The sequence below is a fragment of the Homo sapiens genome, chromosome 6, assembly GCF_000001405.40.
Source record: "Homo sapiens chromosome 6, GRCh38.p14 Primary Assembly".
In the NCBI taxonomy this organism is placed as follows: Eukaryota; Metazoa; Chordata; class Mammalia; order Primates; family Hominidae; genus Homo; species Homo sapiens.
Window position 1 is genome coordinate 26,402,249 of NC_000006.12, and position 13,661 is coordinate 26,415,909.

Below are 13,661 nucleotides of genomic sequence, written 5' to 3' on the forward strand. Positions count from 1 at the left end.
TATTCTTCCAAAGAGAGATTGTTATTATTCCTCACGATGACCCGACAGTCTCTGCTTTCTTTTTCCTTTCTTCCAGAAGGAGATTTAACCATAGTAGAAAGAATGGAGAACTATTAACTGCCTTTCTTCTGTGGGCTGTGATTTTCAGAGGGGAATGCTAAGAGGTGAGTGGGGGAAGTCGATTAGAGCCTGGTTCACAATGCCTGGGAGGACAGGGGCTGAATCGCTGAGAGTGGTGAGTGGGCATGCAGGGAGAGTACTCACCCAGAGAAAGGGGTGTGTGCCTGAGGGGGTGCGCACGCACACATGTGGACACATGGAAAGGGGAGAAGTAGTGCAAAGAATAAAGACCTGCAGAGTTTGGGATTTGGTGAAGAAATAGTCTAATTGCATGTTCTTAAGAACGTATTGTAGTCAGAAAAGGGCAAACAATCTTTAAAATCTGTTCTGGACAACTCAAGGCATCTATTCTAAGAGATTCTAAAAAGAGGTGTCCTTTATAGATTCATATGTAAATTTGTTCATTACAGAAGTATTAAAAATGTAGAAAAACCTGAACCAGCATACATATACAACAGGCGGGGGATAGACAAACAATGCATGGTTCAATCATAAAAGAGATTTCCATGCAGCCTTTAGGAATCGTGTTTTTAATGAAGGGCAATTATTTATAATTTTAGCAATGTTAGATCCATACATTAAACCTTGTTTTAAAATCTTTTAGGAACAGTATGTGTTTTTCCTTTTATTCATCATTTCCCCCAAACCTAACGAATGCTATCCAATGGATACAATCTATTTCATTGTATGAATATACAATTTTTTTGTTTGTTTTGAGATGCAGTCTTGCTCTATCACCCAGGCTGGAGTGCAGTGGCATGTTCTCGGCTTACTGCAGCCTCTGCTTCCTGGGTTCCAGTGATTCTCCTGCCTCAGTCTCCTGGGTAGCTGAGATTACAGGTGCACGCCACCACACCCAGCTAGTTTTTGTATTTTTAGTAGATTCGGAGTTTCGCCATATTGTCTAGGCTGGTCTCAAACTCCTGACCTCAGGTGATCTGCCCACCTCAGCCTCCCAAAGAGCTGGGATTACAGGCGTGAGCCACCACACCCAGCCTTTAAAATTATTTTTAAACACTTCCCTAGTTTGGACTATTTCTCTTTTCTGCATTTGGCTATTGTAGATTTTACTGTATTGAGCAGCCTAAAACATAAATTTTTGTCTTAGTTCCTGATTTTCTTTTTTCTGCAACACTAATTCCTACAAGTGGAACATTTGGGTCAAAGCACACACCTTTTTTTTTTCTTTTAATAGCCATTCCTTAGCAAAGCATATAACTTTTTTTAAGGCCCTTTATATATATATGGTCAAAATACTTCCAGAAATATTTACCTTTTCACTACCAAAGTATATGACTACTACTATAGATATTTTATTTTATTTATTGATTGATTTGTAGAGATGGGGTTTCATTATGTTGACCAGGCTGGTCTTGAATTCCTGGGCTCCAGGGATCCTCCCATCTCAACTTCCCAAATTGCAAGGATTACAGGCATGAACCACTACTTAAACTTGTATTCCTTTATGCTTTTTTTCATTTGCAATATTGACTATAATCAGGAAAAAAAATATATCCTTTATGAAGAAGAAAAACTTATGTCTCATTCTAAGGACAGCAGAGAAATTGTTAACTCAGGGAAAATGATAATAAAAATGATACCCCCTCTATAGCAACATAAAGAGCAGTTTCGAGGAGCAAAAGATGTGGTGAAATGCATTGTTTACTCTGGGTGGGTGCAAGATCCAGGCAGGGGTGAAGCATGGCCGGCTGCACAGATCTCTGTTCTCTTGTTTCCTTTACATCCCTCCCCACCTCCCTCTGCAGATCTTGTTCTCAGAGGCCATTCCCAGACCCACAGCAAGAGGGATTATGGCTGCAGGCCTCATGCTCCTTTGTTTTGGAAGAAACTGTTGAGGAGTTAGTATTTACTGAGCAGCTAATATGTTCCCGTCACTATTGTAACTCATAATAATTATTGTTAAGTAATACACGAAAAGTTTTAAATTTAAAGCATTCCAATATTTTAAAAGTAAAGGGAACAAAAGGCCAAGTGTCCCTTCACTCACTAACCTCTGATCTTCAGATTAGCATGCGTCTTTTTTGAGTTTTTCAGGCATTTACATAAATAGTTATGCAGAAATGGATAGCTTTGCTTCTGTTCTTCAATTGAATCTTTAGTATAGTTGTGCAAGGTGTTTTTTGATCACTTAGTGTGTCTCCGTTATCTAGGTTCATGACAACAAATCAACTCTTTTTACCTGCTGCATTGAATTCCCTCCGAGGGATGAGCCGTCATTCCTCTAAGCAGTCTCCTGATGGGTGGCTGGTTCAGTTGGTTACCATTTTTATACTTTAAAAATAGTGCTGCAGTGTCATTCTCACAGAGGCTTCTGTCTGCACCCATGCAAGTACTTTGCTCGACTTGACATCAGGAAGTGGAACTGCTGGGCCAACTGTGCAATTCTAAATTTCACACTTCATGATATTGTATAAGTAAATAAAGTTGCAATGGTTTTGTCCCATGTCTGAGACCAAAGAGCTTGTGAATCTTAGAGCCTTTACTTATTGCTTACCCTCTTTGTGTCCCTAACCCTTATATCATGGGCCTGGCCCCTTGTGGGTGCTTGGTAAATATTTGTTGAATGACTTTATGAAGGGAAGAAAGAAAAGGTAAGTAAGGCCTGGTCTTATTTGCAGCTCTGTGATCACTAGCCTTGGATTAAATGTGGTGGGTTCAGCCCCTGACTGACTTCAGGTCCCCCACCAAGCAGTCTTCCTTAATCCTACCAGGAGTCCACTAGGCCATGAGTTGACCATGGTGATGGCCAAGAGTTGGGGCTTTGAGGAGTCCACAGTGTGGGACACCCACAGCGGTCGACCCCGGTGGAACCAGGGAGCCCAGTGAAGAGTGTCCTGCATGAATCAGAGGGGGATTGTGGTGGGTTGGACTTGGCAGGGGAAGTTTGGGGAAGTCATAGGATTCTGAATATTGTTAAACAGTACAGTGAGGATTTTCTGATCGAATAACAGATGTGCATTTCACATAGACATGTTTTTACAGGTGATTTTCAATGTTGGGACTCAAAGGTGAAGACACTGAAGGACAGAATTTTTGGCAGAGGAAAGATCTTCTTCGGTCACCATACTTGAGTTAGCTCTAGGGAAGTGGAGGTTTCCATTTGGAATTCTATAGCTTCTTCCAGGTCATAGTGTCTGCCCCCCACCTTCCAGTATCTCCTGATATGCAGCATGAATGAAAATGGCAAGTTTCCTGGCCTTCCTTCTGCTCAACTTTCGTGTCTGCCTCCTTTTGCTTCAGCTGCTCATGCCTCACTCAGGTAGGGAACAATTCCACGCTTGTTTCTGAAGCAGACAATTACCTAATTATGTCCTCATAGGACTTTTGACTCCTTCCCAAACCTGAAGTCCATCCCGATCTGAAGGTTCACCCGTCACTAAGAGACAAATGGTGCTTCTGTTAAGATCAGTTTCCCCCACCAGTTTCTTTGTATCTCGCCTTCCCTGTCTGAGAAGCACCCTTCCTCTCATGACCCCAACTCCAAAACCCTCTGACAGATCCTCCCCCTTGTGCCTACAGCTCAGTTTTCTGTGCTTGGACCCTCTGGGCCCATCCTGGCCATGGTGGGTGAAGACGCTGATCTGCCCTGTCACCTGTTCCCGACCATGAGTGCAGAGACCATGGAGCTGAAGTGGGTGAGTTCCAGCCTAAGGCAGGTGGTGAACGTGTATGCAGATGGAAAGGAAGTGGAAGACAGGCAGAGTGCACCGTATCGAGGGAGAACTTCGATTCTGCGGGATGGCATCACTGCAGGGAAGGCTGCTCTCCGAATACACAACGTCACAGCCTCTGACAGTGGAAAGTACTTGTGTTATTTCCAAGATGGTGACTTCTATGAAAAAGCCCTGGTGGAGCTGAAGGTTGCAGGTGAGCCTCCAGGTTTTGTTCTGAGAACATTTCTCTGTAGGATCTAGAGCAGATGCAGAGTCCCTCTTGCAAAAGCACTGCAGACACTCCTGGCTGCTCACTAGCAATTGCCTGCACTGCCTCCCAACTTAGCTTCTCTGAGGCCCTTGAGTAAGACACAGGTTTTCCTTTAGGAAGAATTCCTGCTGTACCCTACATGCTCAAGTAAAGAACTCCTTTCCTCTGGCCACCAGAGATATAAGGGAAGTGAAGGACAAGGGATAGAAAGCATAAGAAATCATCTCTTCAGTGACTAGTACACAGTCATTCGTGTTTAGTTCTGTACTGGATGGCTTCTGTGGCTCCACTAGGTACATGCTATTGTGGGCCCTAGAAGACTGGGCTATCTGGACTGTATCTGCTGCCAATGTTCTTGAGCCAATGACCCTAGAATACACCTGTAGTCATGGGAGCTGTGTTTCTTACTTGTTGCAGTGAGGAAGAACACATATCATGGGGAGCTGTGGTGGAGTCTCAGTAAGAAGCTGTTAGAGCAGACTTAGTATATAATTTGGGCTTGTGTTAGGGGATTTGGGAGGAGGGTTTATAGACTTTGGCCTCTGCTCTGGATGAGACACTGCTAGGAAGGTGTGGGCAGGTTAATTCTATGAGTGAGAACCTTAATCAATCTTATCTAGGAAGAAAGAGACCAGGGTGAGACTAAAGCTGTAATTGATGAAGGGACAGCAATCCCTCATTGCTGATGGGGGTTGTTTGGTCACTGCTGTGGTTTGGACAATGTTCATGTTTTTCTCTGTGCTCACACATGATGTGGGGTGGTCTTGTTTTTCCCATGATCCATCATAGTCACAAAGTGCCATCATCTGATGCTGGTGTTCTGTGAAATTGCTTTTGTTCAACAGGAGGACACTGAGTCCTGTTGCTGCTTCCAGATAAAGGGACTGCTCTTTTCTTTCTTAGTGCAATGCTTTTCCCTGTGGCTTCTGTTTAAGGGTTTGGTCAGCAGGGATCTGTAGCAGACGATGAAGGGAGGGAGAGAAAAGAGAGATCTGGGTGCTTAGTCCCTGGCTTCCTTCCTGCAAGTTACCCTCAGGCTGGCTGCATTGCCTTGCTGAAGGTCATTGCCCCTCTCAAGAAAGTCCTTAATGCATAAATCTCTTCTTTTGTGTCTTCAAAACAGCTCCCTCTCCTCCTCCCTCTGGTAACTGTGGTGGGTGGGAATAGCCCCACTGTTACTGACCCTGGGATACTGCACTCATTCATGTAGCTTTCTCCTCACTAGGACCACACTTTTGTAAGCAGCTCTAAAATGAAATTGTTCTTGAATTATGGAATGTGAGTGTGCCATGATTCCTTTTGAGACCCTCTCTGATACAGGCCTCTCAAGAATTTAGGCTAATTCATCCTTCCACAGCACTGGGTTCTGATCTTCACGTTGATGTGAAGGGTTACAAGGATGGAGGGATCCATCTGGAGTGCAGGTCCACTGGCTGGTACCCCCAACCCCAAATACAGTGGAGCAACAACAAGGGAGAGAACATCCCGACTGTGGAAGCACCTGTGGTTGCAGACGGAGTGGGCCTGTATGCAGTAGCAGCATCTGTGATCATGAGAGGCAGCTCTGGGGAGGGTGTATCCTGTACCATCAGAAGTTCCCTCCTCGGCCTGGAAAAGACAGCCAGCATTTCCATCGCAGGTCAGTACCTGCTTGGCCTCAGGTTTTCTGAGCTGGGCTGTGGCAGTTGAATGAAGGGGGAGGTGTTAGTGTCTGCAGTCAACCTGGGTCTCTGCACTGAATATAAGGCCCAAAGCACAGACCTGGAGGCTCCTCCTTGCACCGGGGGAGCTTCTCTTCTCCATAAAGCTGTTCATGACGCAAACATTTACTGAACATTTCCTGTCTGCCAGAAGTATAACAGTAATTGGAATTAGGGGATAATTGTTAAGATAAGCTGCGTATGTAAAGTCAAATGACAAAAGGGGAAAGCATATATATATATATACAAACTCATAGAGAAAGAGCCAATCTCCTTGAGACAGAAGATTTTAAAAACTGAGTAAAAAATTTTAACAAAGGTCATAAATTATTTAATTTACAGAAAAGGAAATAACTCACAAAAGAGTGTTCGTTCTCATTCATTAGAGAAACATACTGAATCATTTTTCACTTATGGTATTGGCAAAAATCAAAACAAACATCTGTTGGTTGATAACACATGGTTATGGCAGGAATGTAGGAAGGCTGTGACTCCTAGGCATCTGCTGGGATGACTTGTATTTTTGGTGTGCATTAGCACAACCTCTGTTGGGGGCTATATAACAATATCTATCCAAACTACATCTTTAGTGATCCAAAATTCCGCTTCTGGGAATTTATTTGGTAGATAAGCTTGCATTTGTATGAGATGATCCATGTAAAAAGTTATTTTTTATAGCACTGATTATGACTGCACAAGGTTGGAAACTATGCAGATGTTCACTGCTGGAGAACTTTCATGCAATGGATACCACTCAACTGTGAAAGAAAAAAGAGATAATTCTCTCTATAGTGAAGTGGAAAAACCTCCAAGATTAACTTTGCACAGAAAGAGCAAAATGCAGAGTGGTGTGTATGGAATGCTATCTTTAGTGCAAATAAGAGGAAAAACAAGAATATATTTTTATTTACATTTTTTTAAGTTAACAAGTAATGTCATAACACTCACTAGGTGTCAGGCACTTTATAAGTATTAATTTAATCCTTCTAACTTCAGGAGAAGGGCAGTAGGAACAGAGAGGTTAAGTAATTAGTCTAAAGTCACACTGCAAGTCACCTAAAGGAGCCAGCATTGACACCCAGGGCCTCCAGCTCCAAAGTTCCTGTTCTTAAGCATCATATTAAGCAGACTAATTTGAAGTTAAGAAAGGGAGGGTGGGAGGGAGGACTGGGTGGATGGGAGACTTACGTGACTTTTTATACATGTATTTTAGAACCATGTACATGTGTTACCTATTAAAAAGTTGAATTAGAAAAAAATATGTTTGATATCCTCAAGTCACTCACTTTCCACATGAGAGGCAGACGTCTCAAGAGAAGTAATAGTAGCAGCCTCTAGTGGGGGTTTATCAAAGTCTTACCCACTGTCCTCTGAGATTTTAGCATGAGAAAGATTATTTAACCTCATGAGATAGATTCCGTGCCCTGTGACCTGGGGTGAGCAGCTAACACTTGGGGCGCTGCAGTCTGGGGAGGCTGAGTGCACCGGCCCCCATGACCCACAGCCGTTGCCTTCACAGACCCCTTCTTCAGGAGCGCCCAGAGGTGGATCGCCGCCCTGGCAGGGACCCTGCCTGTCTTGCTGCTGCTTCTTGGGGGAGCCGGTTACTTCCTGTGGCAACAGCAGGAGGAAAAAAAGACTCAGTTCAGAAAGAAAAAGAGAGAGCAAGAGTTGAGAGAAATGGCATGGAGCACAATGAAGCAAGAACAAAGCACAAGAGGTAGCTGACCTTGGGAGTTTATCTGAGCCCCTGGCTTACGGGCCAAAGCCCAAAGACCTCACGCCCATCCCCACCGCAGAGCTCAGTTGCTTTTAAGGTTAATTTTTTAGAAAACCCCCTCACCTGTAACAGTTCATTATTATTTCTGCTTATTTTCCAGTGAAGCTCCTGGAGGAACTCAGTAAGTTCCCATTCCCCCAGAGACCCAGGCATGTCTTCCTGTCCCTGCTTTATGCGCCTTGATGCATCTTCCCCTGTTCCTTCCGTTGCAGGATGGAGAAGTATCCAGTATGCATCTCGTAAGTGCCTCTGACATTTTCTCTGAATTTGAATCTATAACTGTCTGTGCTTGAATAGTTTCCACTCTTAACTCTTTCCCCAAGGTTGGGAAGTGGTCTTAGATCCCTTTGACTAAGGAAAGAAAATAGATGTGCCAATTCCTAGTCATTGCCAAAAAGAAAAAAAAAAAAAGGAAAGAGAAGAAAGGAAAAAAGAAAGAGTGTGGCTGATTGGAGTAACACCCAGGAGGAGTGTTTCTTTCTCCCTCTCTTTCTCTTTCTCAGCTGGTCTCGAAGAAAAGATGCCTTCAATTTATCTCTACCAGGGGCCACAGACTCTATAGCCCTGCAAAGCACTGAGGAATATCCAGGGGCACATTTGTAAAGGAAGGGGGAAGAGGTAGATGAAGTGCATTCTCTATGGCAGGAACTTCACTAGTCATTTTACATAATCTATAGGCTCCAGAGAAGAAAAAGAATAAAAGATAATAAAGAACAAGAAAATCTGAAAAGAGAGAGGGAGAAAAGTGTGTCTAATAAACAAAAGTGGCCTGAACAGTCGCTCAGTTGGTACCAATTTATTCTAACTGACTTCAAACACTAGTCCCTGAAATTGCTCATTAAATTTCCCAAATTCTTTTCAGAGTAAGGTACGAAATTAGATTGATATAGAAGGATCTTGCAAACACACACACACACATACACACATTTAAATATATATATACACATATATACATATATACACATATATATGTGCATATATATGTATATATATATGTGTATATATATATGTGCATATAGACATGGAGACACCTATGCCCAGGTACAGGTATATAGATACATTCCAAATAGATCAGCTGAACACCATCAGGAAGGAACTCTCGCAATGTCTGCCATGTCACTAGCATTCGACTGATGTTCCTGGATTTGATACTAAGAACAACACAATAGAAAGAATTGAACCTGCAGAGGAGGAAGATACAGGTGGTAAAAAAAAAAAAAAAAAAAAAAAGATTAGATGGATGTAAAGTTAAGGGAATGGGGCCAAATCAAAAATGGCAAGTTCAGGTGACATCTCTATCTTTTTTTCATTGTAGGGGGAGAGAGACATTCAGCCTATAATGGTGAGTGAACCTGATGCTCTCTGAGTTTGCTGGGACACGTGCCATGAACATTTCAACCTTTTCTCTGCTGTGACCCATTGATGTTCTCATTTGCATGAATCAGATTTAACCCAAAGACTCAATTTGTGTGTTGTGGGGGGTTGATTTCTGCTTTTCTGGAGAATCAGAGAGACTCCTGACCCTGCACACCCCCTTGCAAAGCCTGGCCTTGCAGCCTGTACCCTTCATTGCAGAGGGAACAGAGCTCACCATTTTTGAGAAGGTACCACCCCTGATCCATCAGAGCTGTAGAAGAGGGAGGCTGGACCCTGGAAGAGACTCTGAAGAAAAGGAGAGAAAACATGTAGTGAGGGGAGAGTGCAGTGGGGAAAAGTACAAGAATACTGACCTTTTCCTTATCTGTGTCTCCTTCCTTTCAGAATGGAAAAAGGCCCTCTTCAAGCCTGGTGAGTAAATCACTGTGTGTTCCCTGGACCAACAACCTGAGGGACTATATTCCTTTTTCCTTTTTACTTCTCCAACTGTTGTGATTTGGGGAAGAAAAGCTCCCATGACTAGGAGAATTTGGGGTAGGCAACATTAAATTCCAATCTGAAAAGTGGGCCCATCTCCAAGACCCTTTCTGCTGAGAGCCCAGGGAACCAGGGCGAATAGATCTCTTGCACTTCCTCAGACCTTCCTGGGAAGGAAGACATATAAAGGGTGGATCTGAGGGGAAGGAGACACACACTGAGTAATACTGCAGGGAGAGTGAGGATGGAAATGCCAAGGAAAGGAGGCGATGCCTGCCCAAAGAACTTAGTCCTTCCCAGACTTCTCATGCCACCTACTGTCAGTGCCTTCTCAAAAAAACTTAATGCTTCTGAGCTTTGGCCTCCACATATTTAGGTGATGATTTCAATCTGTGTTTGTGGGGGTTGAGGTGAAGACTGAAGGAATAATAAATATCCATTGGTCAAAAACCTTAAGAAGGAGATGATGAGTTCAAACTGCGTGGTTGAAGGTTTGCAGAAAGGAGGGTTAAGGGAAAGCAACAAGGAAAAGTGCAGTGCCCCCATGGTTCCCAACAGTGGGGAGCTGTCTCCACTCCTACACTGGGACGGCTAGGGAGGGGAGGCAGTTACTGGAACCCAGAATAAGAAGTAGCTCAAAGAGAGGGCTCCCTGAGAAGAGTCTTCAGGCCTTGTTAGAGCAGCAGCAGCTGCTGCTGGCAGGGAGGAAGCAGGAAATTAAACGGTGTGTCTCTCCTTTCTTTCTCCTTCCAATCTCCTATCAGGGCCTCCCATTGGCCAAACCCAACAGCAAACCAGAGGACAAGGGAGCCCAGTGGCACTGTCTCAGGAATCTGCCCAGAGGACAGATTCCTGGGGCCCAGAAGAGGGTGGAGAAAGCTGAAGGGTGGAGAGTGAATCTAGGGCATATAAGGCACCACATAGAGCCCAGCACAGAGACGGCCTTGCAGCTATCAGGAAGATGAGGAGCTTCCTTCATGGCCTGCTGTGGGCTGAGTAAATAACATGATTGCCTTCTACAGCGCTAGAGATTCATTTGTTTATCCCCATTTTTCAGGTGAGGAAATGCTTCAGATGAGGCTCCACTTTGTTAAATAAATTGGATGTATGGAAAAATAGACTGCAGAAAAGGGGAACTCATTTAGCTCATGAGTGGTCGAATGAAGGTTGAAAATTAACCTCTGAGTATAAAGCATTAGTGGGCAGAGTGAATATGGGGAGGGAAACAAGAAAAACGTAGAAAGGATCCTTGCTGCTTCCTGAGGCCGCGTCAGGGTATTGGGTTAGGCAGAGATGCTGAGGCAACCCTCATTTCACCCTCCTCTTCCCCTCTGGACACAAGATACCTGATACCTGGGGCTTTCTCTCCTGACATCGATGAGAGAGTCACATTTAGGGCAGACTAGGGACACCAGGCTTTGGACTCAGACCTCCTCAGCATGGCCCAGGCCTTGCATGCTGAGGCTCTGAAATCCAGGAAAAATGGTTGACCTCATGGACACTTCCTCAAACTCTCTGCAGCGGATGTGATTCTGGATCCAAAAACAGCAAACCCCATCCTCCTTGTTTCTGAGGACCAGAGGAGTGTGCAGCGTGCCAAGGAGCCCCAGGATCTGCCAGACAACCCTGAGAGATTTAATTGGCATTATTGTGTTCTCGGCTGTGAGAGCTTCATATCAGGGAGACATTACTGGGAGGTGGAGGTAGGGGACAGGAAAGAGTGGCATATAGGGGTGTGCAGTAAGAATGTGCAGAGAAAAGGCTGGGTCAAAATGACACCTGAGAATGGATTCTGGACTATGGGGCTGACTGATGGGAATAAGTATCGGACTCTAACTGAGCCCAGAACCAACCTGAAACTTCCTAAGCCCCCTAAGAAAGTGGGGGTCTTCCTGGACTATGAGACTGGAGATATCTCATTCTACAATGCTGTGGATGGATCGCATATTCATACTTTCCTGGACGTCTCCTTCTCTGAGGCTCTATATCCTGTTTTCAGAATTTTGACCTTGGAGCCCACGGCCCTGACTATTTGTCCAGCGTGAAAAGAAGAAGAGAGTTCCTCCAATTCTGACCGAGTGCTGATCATTCCCTAGAGACACCAGTAACCCCGGGCTTAGCTAACGAAAGTGGGGAGCCTCAGGCTGAAGTAACTTTTCTCTGCTTCTCCCTGCCCAGCTCAGAGCTGAGGGCCTCCCCCTCCACAGCAACCAATCACAACCATAAAGCTACAAGCACGCACTGAAGCACTTTACTGATACTCATTCAATTATTCATATGACAGTTGTTTGAGTTTGGTACCATCTTATTTTCCCCTTATACAGATAAGGAAACTGGGGTGCAGAAAAGTGAATTGACTACAAAGTAGACATGACTAGTTAACAACACAGCTGGGATCTAAACAGCAATAACTAACATTAATGGAGAACTTAAAATGCTCTGAGTGCTGTGTTATGAGCTTTGGTGGATGTCACTCCTTTAATCCTCGCAACACCCTGTCGGGTAGTCTCATTTAGCAAGTATGGAAGTTGAGGCAGGGCAACATTAAGCAACTTACATAACTCATGCAGTAATTTCTGCAGTTGGGAGATGTTCAGCTTCAGTCCCCGGCCCTATGGCCGTTCTTTTCCACCCTGTTTCTTCCCCCATAGGAAGAACCCACCTGTAGCCCTGAGGTTCTTTTCCCAGGATGGCTCCAGGATAAGGATCACTGTAGGTGGTTGTGGAGTTGACACCCCTGTTGACTCCTTCCCAGCTGATTGTCAGAGCCTTAGACCCAGCACGCCTTGGATTAGCTCTGCAGAGTGTCTTGGTTGAGAGAATAACCTCACCGTACCCACATGACACGTGATTTGGAAAGAGACTAGAGGCCACACTTGATAAATCATGGGGAACAGATGTGTTCCACCCAACAAATGTGATAAGTGATCATGCAGCCAGAGCCAGCCTTCCTTCAATCAAGGTTTCCAGGCAGAGCAAATACCCTAGAGATTCTCTGTGATATAGGAAATTTGGATGAAGGGAGCTAGAAGAAATACAGGGATTTTTTTTTTTTTTTAAGATGGAGTCTTACTCTGTTGCTAGGCTGGAGTGCAGTGGTGCGATCTCAGCTCCCTGCAACCTCCACCTCCTGGGTTCAAACAATTCTCCTGCCTCAGCCTCCCGAGTACTGGGAATATAGGTGCACGCCACCACACCCAACAAATTTTTGTACTTTTAGTACAGATGAGGGTTCACTATGTTGGCCAGGATGGTCTCGATCTCTTGACCTCATGATCCACCCACCTCGGTCTCCCAAAGTGCTGGGATTACAGGCTTGAGCCACCGGGTGACCGGCTTACAGGGATATTTTTAATCCCGTTATGGACTCTGTCTCCAGGAGAGGGGTCTATCCACCCCTGCTCATTGGTGGATGTTAAACCAATATTCCTTTCAACTGCTGCCTGCTAGGGAAAAACTACTCCTCATTATCATCATTATTATTGCTCTCCACTGTATCCCCTCTACCTGGCATGTGCTTGTCAAGTTCTAGTTGTTCAATAAATTTGTTAATAATGCTGACTCTTCAACTTGGCTTTTTCTAGACTCTAATAAGTCTACTCGGCACAGTAGAATAGTCCACACACCCACTGTACTCCCCACAGTTTCAGTTTACCTCATTGCAGTGTTTTCACAAAACCTTTATTGTATGTGTTTTCTACTGCTGCTATGATGAATTAGCACAAATTCTTAGACTTAAAGCAACACAAGTTTTTGGTTCAAAGTTCTATAGGTCAGAAGTCCAACAGGGATCTCACCAGACTAAGATCAATGTGTCTGCATGCTGGATTCTTTTCTGGAGGCTCTAGAGAGCAATATGTTTTCTTGTTTATTCAGATTGCTGGCAGAATTCAATTTTTGCAATTACAAGACAGAGGTCCCAGTTGCTTACTGATTTACAGCTGAAGGCTGTTCCCATCCCTAGAGGCTGCTGTTTTTTGGCTCGCAGCTCCCTTCTTCAGTCTTCAAAGCAGCAATTATGCATTGAGGACTTGTCAATCTTTGAAGTTTTTCTGGTTCTTTTTCCATTGCACCTCTCTGATTCTTCTGCCTTCTACTTTTGAGAACTCCTGTGATTCGATTAAGTCCACCCAGATAATTTAGAATAATCACTAAATTTTAAGGTCCATAACCTTAATTCTATAAGGTCCATTTTGCCATGTTATATATCATTGTCACATGTTTCACAGTAAACATCACTAGGTGTGTATGGAGGGAAGAGC

The 13,661-nt window shown here is 44.2% G+C and overlaps 1 protein-coding gene across 16 annotated transcripts; it reads left to right on the forward strand.

Annotated features, from left to right (window-relative positions):
* Positions 27 to 12,960, forward strand: BTN3A1 (butyrophilin subfamily 3 member A1). Of its 16 annotated transcripts, none has more exons than XM_047418124.1 (10): positions 27 to 164; positions 1,887 to 3,400; positions 3,661 to 4,008; positions 5,423 to 5,704; positions 7,285 to 7,485; positions 7,646 to 7,666; positions 7,758 to 7,784; positions 8,861 to 8,887; positions 9,307 to 9,333; positions 10,457 to 12,960. In XM_047418124.1, the coding sequence occupies exons 2-10, from the start codon at positions 3,316 to 3,318 to the stop codon at positions 10,495 to 10,497; spliced, it is 1,059 nt and encodes a 352-aa protein (XP_047274080.1). In that variant the 5' UTR covers positions 27 to 164; positions 1,887 to 3,315; the 3' UTR covers positions 10,498 to 12,960. The 16 variants fall into 16 exon arrangements, with proteins under 16 accessions (XP_047274080.1, XP_047274076.1, XP_047274085.1 ...); XM_047418120.1 differs by having other exon boundaries at positions 10,921 to 12,960; XM_047418129.1 differs by having other exon boundaries at positions 5,579 to 5,704.
* Positions 12,961 to 13,661: the final 701 nt, after the last annotated feature.